The sequence below is a fragment of the Homo sapiens genome, chromosome 10, assembly GCF_000001405.40.
Source record: "Homo sapiens chromosome 10, GRCh38.p14 Primary Assembly".
Lineage (NCBI taxonomy): Eukaryota > Metazoa > Chordata > Mammalia > Primates > Hominidae > Homo > Homo sapiens.
This window is the reverse complement of record NC_000010.11, coordinates 111072925-111082145: the sequence shown is the minus strand read 5'-3', so window position 1 is coordinate 111082145 and position 9221 is coordinate 111072925. Positions and strand designations below refer to the sequence as shown.

The 9221-nt window shown below is 53.3% G+C and overlaps 1 protein-coding gene across 1 annotated transcript, besides 1 other annotated feature; it reads right to left on the bottom strand.

Annotated features, from left to right (window-relative positions):
- Positions 1239-5117, bottom strand: ADRA2A (adrenoceptor alpha 2A). Its single transcript, NM_000681.4, has one exon. The coding sequence runs from the start codon at positions 4147-4149 to the stop codon at positions 2752-2754; it is 1398 nt and encodes a 465-aa protein (NP_000672.3). The 5' UTR covers positions 4150-5117; the 3' UTR covers positions 1239-2751.
- Positions 5105-5154: a silencer, noted in NCBI's record as "silent region_2830". NCBI's record gives its function as "represses an Ori minimal core promoter by ATAC-STARR-seq in GM12878 lymphoblastoid cells {active_cell/tissue: GM12878}" and the evidence as "EXISTENCE:reporter gene assay evidence [ECO:0000049][PMID:35858748]".

Below are 9221 nucleotides of genomic sequence, written 5' to 3'. Positions count from 1 at the left end.
ACGGCAGGAACTCCTCACCCCCTCAGAGCCATGGTCTTCCCTCTCCCAGGCCCCTCAGTGCCCAGATCATTTCTCAGGGCTCTCTACCCTCCCACTGCTGCATACACAGACACCCTCTCCTGCACGAGAGAAGCAAAGGAAGATGAGGAGATGCTGCATGGCCCAGAGGGTGCAGAGGACCTGCTTCTGGGGGGTGTCCAAAGCTGGTCCGCACATATTACAGGTGACTGGGCTCACAAAAGCTGGCCTCCCCCAAAACCACAACCTGACGCTTGTGTTTGCCCCTCAAACCCCCCTCCTCCATAAGTGGCTATTCATCAGTACTGCATCTGACTACACACACAGAACTACTACTACACATCTCTCAGCTGCGCCCTAACCCGGGCAGCCTGGAGCCAGAGCCCTGTCACCTAGCGCCTTGGGATCCTGAGCAAGTCGCTTCCTCTTGCATCTGCATTTGCCTTCTCATCTGTCAGATGAGGGGTTGGACTCCTGGATCACTAAGGCCCCTTCCAGCTTCAAAGTGCCATTACCATAGTATGAGGGCCATAAGCCCTCCTAGACAGCAGAGCAGACTTTGATATTATAGCAATGCAACAAGAAGGATGCATGCCTTCTGGCCAGAGACAACTCAAACCACCAACTAATACATGGTTCTATTCAGGTTTTAGACCATACTTAGTGCATAACCACACTATGGAGTATATGCTACATGTCATATATTATCATGCTTTAAGGTGTGATATACATTTTGGAGTATATTCCACACTTGGTGCATATACCACACTTTGGAGTAGATACACACTTTGAGGTATATAGACACATTAGGTCATGTAGACACTGGGGTATGTATACACCTTGTGTATATTAAATACTGGGATATATCTCACACCTGGTATAGATAGCACACTGCATAGACACCTCTCCACTGGGAGTGTTCTGAGAAGGGCTAATGCCAAAACTCTGGAAAGGTTCTGGGGTTAAGAGTGCAGGCCCTAGAACCAGATAAAGCTGGGTACGATGCATTTCCACCACTTGTTAACCTTGAGCAAGGTTAACAAACTTGCTCTGAGACTCAGTTTCTTCACCTGTAAAATGGGGATAGTAATAAAACTTACCTCATAGCGTTCTTGAGAAAAGTAAACGAGGCAATGCCTACAACCAGTTCACCACAGTGTCTAGCATGTCAGAAACACTTAGTAAATGGTAGCTTTGTTACTGATGGAACGTTTAAAAAATTTTTATAATGTACATTTTTTATTTTTAAAAAATCCATAAAATCAGATGTTCCCAGAGTCTTAAAGCTTTTGAAAACTCAGATAACAGACAAGAGGACCACTCCATTCATATTTATTTCACATTTGATCTGTAAACTTTTTTATTTAAAAAAAAATCCACTGTCATTAGCAACATGTGCTGACATTAGTTTTTCTTTAGTGAAATAAGAGTGCAGGCCTTAAATTGTCTCTGTCTAAAACATGTAGAAATGCAGATGTAAACACAAAGTCTCTGCCCTCCTCCCCTGACTTTGGCAGTTCATCAATGACATGATCTCAACCAGAAAAGCACGGAGGGGGGAAAGGACAACATTTTGATACCTAACAGCTCTTGGGGAAGAAACTGTACAGTTTGGCAGGCCCATTTGTCTTTTCAAACTGTTTACCTTGGGCAAATTGTATCAGGTTTGCTTCTTCCACATAATTTCCACTCCTTGGAGTCTAAAAACAGCAGCTAAAAGATTTCCCCATAGTCAGCACTTTCGGGGCAGGAGGGGCACACAGACATACAAGATAGAAACATACATATTCTTCTTCAAGCAGTGGCCCTGGAGGGAGAGAGGGAACACTGGAAAGAGAGGTTTTAAAGTGAGTTACTGGGGCAAACAGTGCATCAGAGAATAATGGCTTTATACACAGGGCTGATGTGAGGCAGAAAGGCTCATTTACTTATGTCTTGATCCACCATCATAATATTTACATAGGAAAAGGCAATTATGCTGTTAGGCACAGGAAAAAAATGGACAGAAATCTTTTCCCTGTCAGGAAATCTCAAAGCAGGTCCGTGTCGAAGGGACAGTCACCAGTTGCTGGTGAAAACGACGACATAGAGGGACTTCATAACACCAGAAAGGGCTTGCATTGCAAAGGGGCTTGGCCTGAACCAGACAGCTGTGTCTGCCTGGAAGGCATCTCTCCCAAGGCCAGGATTTCAACATCAAAACCAAGGCCAAGAGATATGGGGGCCCCATGTGTGCTATCAAAAATAGTGTATATTTACAGCGGGGGATGGGGAGGGCAGGCAGGGCTGCCCTTAGCATTTTTCTTTAAAAAGAGAGAGAGAGTTGGGAATGGAAGGGGAATTAGCCAGGGCTAGGTAACCCCCATCCATTAACCTTTTGTGAGCCATGCCCTTGTAGTCCAGTGCTTGCTCTGAAGAGCTGTGAGGGCTGTACCAGGCGAAGAGGGTGAAAATACCTTTAGGAAGCAATAGTGATTAGGGGTGGCCCACTAGGAAGATGGCTCCAGGTCAAGAGTGGCCAAACCAACAACTGGGGATGTGTGGGCCTGGCAGCAAGAAGCTTCCCTTGTAGGAGCAGCAGACGCCCGCCCGCAGGAGGCTGCAGAGCCACCCCAGACGAGGAAACGCAGAGCAGGCAGCGCCCGGGTTTCTGAGTGCCCTGGGGCTAAGCACCCCTCGATGCCCCCCGCTGCCTGCAGTCAGCGTGAGTCTACGCGGGCGCCAGCGGAAACCTCACACGATCCGCTTCCTGTCCCCCCGACAGAGGATCTTCTTGAAGGCGCGGCGGAAATCGTGGTTGAAGATGGTGTAGATGACCGGGTTCAACGAGCTGTTGCAGTAGCCGAACCAGAAGAAGAATTTGAAGAGCGTGCGTGGCACGGAGCACCCGACGGCCGTGAGCGTGTAGGTGAAGAAGAAGGGGAACCAGCACACCACGAACACTCCGATGACCACGGCCAGCACGAACGTGAAGCGCTTCTCGCGGTTCTGCCGCCCGCGCCAGCGCGACGCCTTGGCAGCCCCGACGCGCTCCTCCCCCGGCCCTGCAGCCGGCGTCCCGATCCCCGTCGCCCCCGGCCCGCGCCGCGGCAGGCTGTCGCCCGGCTTCACCTGGCTCGCTCGGGCCTTGCCTTTGCCCCGGGGACCGCGCTCGGGTCTGCGGGGCCCTGGAGGCCGCTCGGCGTGGTCGGAAGACGAGCTCTCCTCCAGGTCCAGCGCGTCGGTGTCGCGCGGCCCGGCCGGCGCGGGCTCGCCAGGGGCGCCGTTGAGCTGGGTGGGCAGCGGTTCGGCCTCTGCGCCCCCCGGGCCCGCGCTGCGCTCGGGGCCCAGACCGTTGGGCCTGCGCTCGGTGCCCCCCGGCGGCGCGGCGACGGCGTCCGGACCCCGGCGGCTGGGTGGCACGCGGGTGCGACGCTTGGCGATCTGGTAGATGCGCACGTAGACCAGGATCATGATGAGGCAGGGAGCGAAGAAGGAGCCGATGCACGACGAGATGACGTACCACTTCTGGTCGTTGATCTCGCAGCGCGGCTCGGCCGGCTGCGGGCCGCCGCCGCCGCCCTTCTTCTCGATGGAGATGAGCGGCGGGAAGGAGATGACGGCCGAGATGACCCACACGGTGATGATGATGGCCTTGATGCGGCGCGGCGTGCGCTTCAGGTTGTACTCGATGGCCTGTGTGATGGACCAGTAGCGGTCCAGGCTGATGGCGCACAGGTGCACGATGGACGACGTGCAGAAGAGCACGTCGAGCGCCAGGTAGATCTCGCACCAAGCCTTGCCGAAGTACCAGTAGCCCATGACCTCGTTGGCCAGCGAGAAAGGGATGACGAGCGTGGCCACCAGGATGTCGGCCGAGGCCAGAGACACCAGGAAGAGGTTTTGGGGCGCCTTGAGCGCGCGGCTCGTGAACACGGCGATGATGACGAGCACGTTGCCGAACACGGTGAGCAGCATGAGCAGGCCGGCCAGGCACACCAGCGTCAGCGTCACCTGCAGGGAGTAAGGGGTGGCCCGGGCGCCGCCCCCCGGCGCCTCGGTCCCGTTCCAGCTCGCGTTGCCCGCGTCCGGCTGCAGGGAGCCCATGGGCGCAAAGCTGCCCTCGGCCAACGGCTGCTCCTGGCGGAACATGAACGCGGGCGCCCGCTGGCCTGGGCCTGCTGCCAGCTGCCTTCCGGCCCGGCGCCCGTGGGTCCTCCTCTTCCTCCGGCGCCCCGCTCGCCTGGCTGCGGCTCACATAGGGAGGGGGCCGCAGGGAGGCCGGGCCCGAACTGGAGGACCGCTAGCGGCCCATGGCCCGGGTCCCGCGAACTGCGCCTGGCTCGCGCTTCAGACGCTCTCGGTGGGCGCCTTCTTGCTCCGAGCTCCTAATACAGCCAAGTTTTATTTCTAAGCGGCGGGAGAGAGTAGGGAGAGCCGATGGGTAAAGAGAGATTTATTCTTCAAGAAGGGAGAACAAAAATCATCGGTGGCCTGATAACTTGGAAGGATGACAGGAAATTAAATATATATATACATATCAATATCTGTATCTTGAATCTTGAGCCTGAGCGAAAGCAAGAGGTCTTACCGTGTGCGGGGCCCGCCCCCACCCCGGGAGGCAGCCGAAGGGTGCTGATGCGAGCTCGGGGGTCCTATGTCTGTCGCCTTACATCCCCGAAGCGATTACCGACTCTCTGGCTTCCCCCAGACGCTGCGGTTCTGGCCCGGCCCGGCCCGGGGCTGGGGCGCGGACTCTGCCGCCTCTCGGAGCGCCGCGAGACTTCCAAAGTTGTGCGCCCTGCTGGGGCTGGGGCACACTGTGCGGAGCTCCGGGACGGCGGCGGCGGCGGGGTGAGGAGTGTGGGGGCCGCATGAAGGCACCCCCGTCCTCAGGCGGGCCGGGGCAGGTGAACGATCAGCTCTCCAGGAGCCGCGACGGAGGCAGGGGTTCTCCTGGGCGTCCGCCTGGTGGGCGCCGAGCGCTGCTGGATGGGCCGGGGTCCGACGACAGCGCGAGTTGGGGCAGGAGCGCAAGGCGGGGAAGAAGGCGCTGGAGTGGCCGGGCGGCGGCACGCCGGCTGCTGGGCTTCTGCACCGAGCTGGAGCTGCTGCTGCTCCGCTGCGCTCACGGTGGACTCGTTTTATAGCCCCAGGATCAAGCAAGCGTTGCTGAGCAGCCGGCGTCAGCCCCCACGTGGGAAGCCGACCCTCCCCCGCCCCTCGCACCACCCCTCCGCCAGTCTAGCGCCCGCGCCTAGCGCTGGACCTCGGGGAGCGTTGCCCTCAGGCGGGACGAGCCCTTTGGAGAGGCGGGTACCTTGAGCTAGAGACTTAAAGAGGGAGCCCGGGGGTGGGGGGTAGGGGAGGAGCGGCCCCTGCTGGGAGTTGGCCATGCAGCTCCGGGCCGACGGAGCAGAACGCAACGGGCACCCGTGAGTGCCCCCAAGAAGCTGGATCTTGGGAGAAAAGGGAAGAAAAAAATGGAAGGGAATCCCCGCCCAAATCGAGGGAAGTAACCTCCGGTGTGAGTTACGTCTGGAGCAGCCCAGCTCCGGGCCAGAGCCGACGCGGTCCGCAGGTGCTCCTGGAGGCTGGGGAGAAAGGGGTCCTGGAGAGGGAGGAAGGCGCGGCTTCGGATGGAACCCCTGGGGCGGAATGGACAGCACCCACGGGGAAGTGGTACAAGCCGGAGTTCAGACCTCCGCTTAGGGAAGAAGCGGCTACGTGTCCTCCCAGCCGCGATGCTGTCTGCGGGAAACGCAAGACCCGGGGTCTGGACCGCGCCCCCTTAGACCGAGGTGGGGAGGGGTCCAGGAGCCGAGCGCCAGGGCAAAGCGAGGACGCACTGACACCTGCTGGCCGCTCGTGGTCACGGCTGAGAAGCGACCCGCTGACGCCAGGCGCCTCCTCCCGTCTCTTAGGTCTTCTGCCAACAGAGCCTTCTCCTATCTCCGAACAAATTGGTTTCTAAGCTCAGGAAAGGAGAACCCAGAGTTTGAATTGCACCCTGCCGTGTTGCAGAAATCTTCCTAAAGCAGATACTCGTGTGTCTACCCCTGGCGGGAGTGGGGGTTTGTCTAATAAAGTCACATCAGGAAGGGCTCAGCAGGCACCGCCGGCCAGAACGGGCATCCCACTCTGGACCCGCACAGCCCACCCTTCCTGCAGATCCGAGAGAGGCCAGGATCCTGCCTCCTTGGTTGCACAGCTCTGGCTTGCTGGGAATCATTATGTTTTTGTTGAGGACCGAAAGCTAGACTCCACTCCCGCCCCGCATCCCACCCCCATTCAGATGTACACACAGCATCCTTCAATAAGGGGAAGAGGGAGTAGAATATTTTCCATGTTCTCTCTGATAAGAATAGCGGTGGGGGCGGGGGGGAGTGGGTGTGCGGCGAATGGCAAGTTTTTCCGTGCGTGCTAGCTGTCCTAGGATAGATTTTAACGGTCACTAGAGCACTAGCTTGCACCCTGCTAGCTGCACTTTTCAGATGAGAGCAAGCAGTTTAATGGTAAAACCCAAGAGGGTAGGAAATTTCAGCAGGAGAGAGATTAGACTTAAAGGAATGTCGTCTTATTTAAGGAACCACTAAACCAAAATGCCTTGTGCAGTCACCTAAGTTGGAATTCCAAGGATGGAACAGGCTGCCTCTCTGTGCAGCCAGCTGCAGGCTTAGGTCTGGCTGGGGGCTGATGGCTAAATTAAGGGCCCTGAGAATCACCTTCATTCCCAGCTGATGTCTATAGCCCGCACCAGTGATACAGTTATTGGTGCTGCTGCTGTTCATGTAGTCTCAAAATCTGTACTTTCCAAAGTATTTCACAGAAGTCTCATTTGACTTCAGTACCTTTGTCTCCCAATCTTTGCCCTAATGGTATAAACTCCCTTTCCAGTGTTAGTTCTGAGGAGCCTTTCTAATCTCCCTTTCTGGACAATCTAAAGGAAGCTGAGAAGACAATTTCCTCGCTCTGTTGAGTCACTCATTTTCCATCTTCTACTAAAGTCTCTGCTCTGAGGCTCTTGGCAGGGGCTTTGGACATCGCCAGTAGGCTCAGTTGGAAACATGGCTACAGTCATTTTTGCACAGCAACTAGGAACCCCACACTTCAAGTATGAATACTAAGAGACAAAAATCAGAGCCCGTGGCAATCTGGGGTTTGCTGTGTTGCTGTTTGTAGAACTCGGGAACTGAGTCTTAGGAGACCATCACTTACCATCTGCACCCCAGCTTCCAACACACTGCTCTTCTTCCTAATTTCAGAATCAAAAGAGGAAATAAAAACAAAGTTTACAGTAATTATCTTTCTTGAAATTTCTGCTGCTAGCCTGTGTATGACACCTCTTGTCATATTTTCTAAATGCTTCCCAAACAGCCAGGTGGTTTCTTAATTCCCTGATTTGGAGTCTTTTCTCCTAAAATGGGAACAGGTCTTTTCAGAGCCAGGAACCCTGAGGCCAATACACAACGAATACCAATAATAACAAGTGCTGCATTTTATTAAGTACCATGATGTATGCACCATGTGTAGGGTGATATACATGGCCCCTTTATACACAGAGTTCTTATTCCTGTCACATGTTCCTTATCACCAAAGGTTCTGCCTCCTCAGTTTGTCACACAGGGTCAGTATCTCTGAGCTTTGAAAAGCTATGTGGACACCATTAATTTTTGCTAGAAGATTTCATGCTGTGCAAGCTGAGTGAGACATTGCTGAGCAGAAAGATATCCACAAATATAATAATTCTCAACCAGGCCTATAGATCAGCATTTCCTAGGAAGACAAAATACACTTACCAATGCCCCACCAGGGAAATTATTCACCAGGTCCAAGGTGGGATGCAGCATGTGTATTTTGACAAAACTCCTTGAGAGCTGCAGGTGTGCACACCCTGCTGAAGACTTACCACCCAAAGCAATAAATCTCAGTGGGGGACAGGAGTGATGAGCAAGTGCCCTTGTGGGGACAGGAGGCAGTGTCCAAATTACCCGGGGTAGGAAGCCAACTTGAGCTAGAAAGAGTGGGCCCCAGATTGAGAATCACTGCCCTGAGCCAGTGAGACTGCTATGACAGTGTCATAGCCCTCCAGGGAGCTGGGACAGAGCAAATAGTTGAGAGCCACTGTAAATATGGAGTTTGGGTTTGATGGCCTGAGAAGGAGTCATTTCTGGGGACCCAAATGGGGGTCCATTATTACTTATATTATTACTAAAAATAAATAGTACCTATTAGCACCAACCACATGCTAGGCACAATGCCAAGCAGTTTATGTACTATATATTATATAATTCCCAAAACAATCCCATAATGTAGATTTTATTATCTGCCTTTGTAGATGGAGGAAACTAGGCAACAGACTAAGTAAACTGTCCAGCTAATAAGTGGCAAGGACAGAGCCGAACTCTATTTTTCCTGGTGGTAAGCCCAATGAGCTTTCTAAGTTCCTTACTGTGAATCTCCAGCCTTGATCGCACTGCCAAAGAGAAACCTGCAAAATGTTCATCAGAAATGAGCACATTGACAAGTTAGCACATCCTCCTTCTAGCCCTGTCCTTTCAGTCCATTGATGTCTACTAGATTAGGACAGTACAAGGCAAGATGTATTCCCTCTTTCTGTATCTAATGCCCACTCTTGGAGGCAACGTCACATACACTCTAGGAGACTGACCATTCCCCAACAGCCAAGCTGATGGAGAGCAAGCACTACACCAACTGGTTAGGCAACCCCTCCTCCTCCTAGTAGAAGCAACCTCTCTCTCTCATGGGTGCCATACATATTTTATCATGGCTTAGATGGACTTTTCTTGCTCTAGCTTATCTATTCATTTGTATGATGATCTAGCAGGTAGAAAGGACTGTCCTTTTCATCTCTATTCCTAGAGCATCTCTAAAACAGGCTTTTTAAAAATCATATTTCTAGTACCTACTCCTTGGAGATTCTGATTCAGTAGGATGAAGGCGGGGCCTGGGTGTTTGCATTTTTAACAAGTGCATGAGTAATTCAATAAATACCAAAATATAACACACAGAGCATGGATACTTGATAAATGTGTGATGGATGAATGTATGAATGAATGAATTCTACTTACACTGAAGCTATCAAAGAGGCAAGAGGGGCCCAGAAGTTGGTGAAGTTGGTGACTACGATGGCTAGCATTTTATTCCAAAATCAGGATTTCTTAATAGTTGAGGTAGCTTAACTAGTTCAAGGATATAAGTAT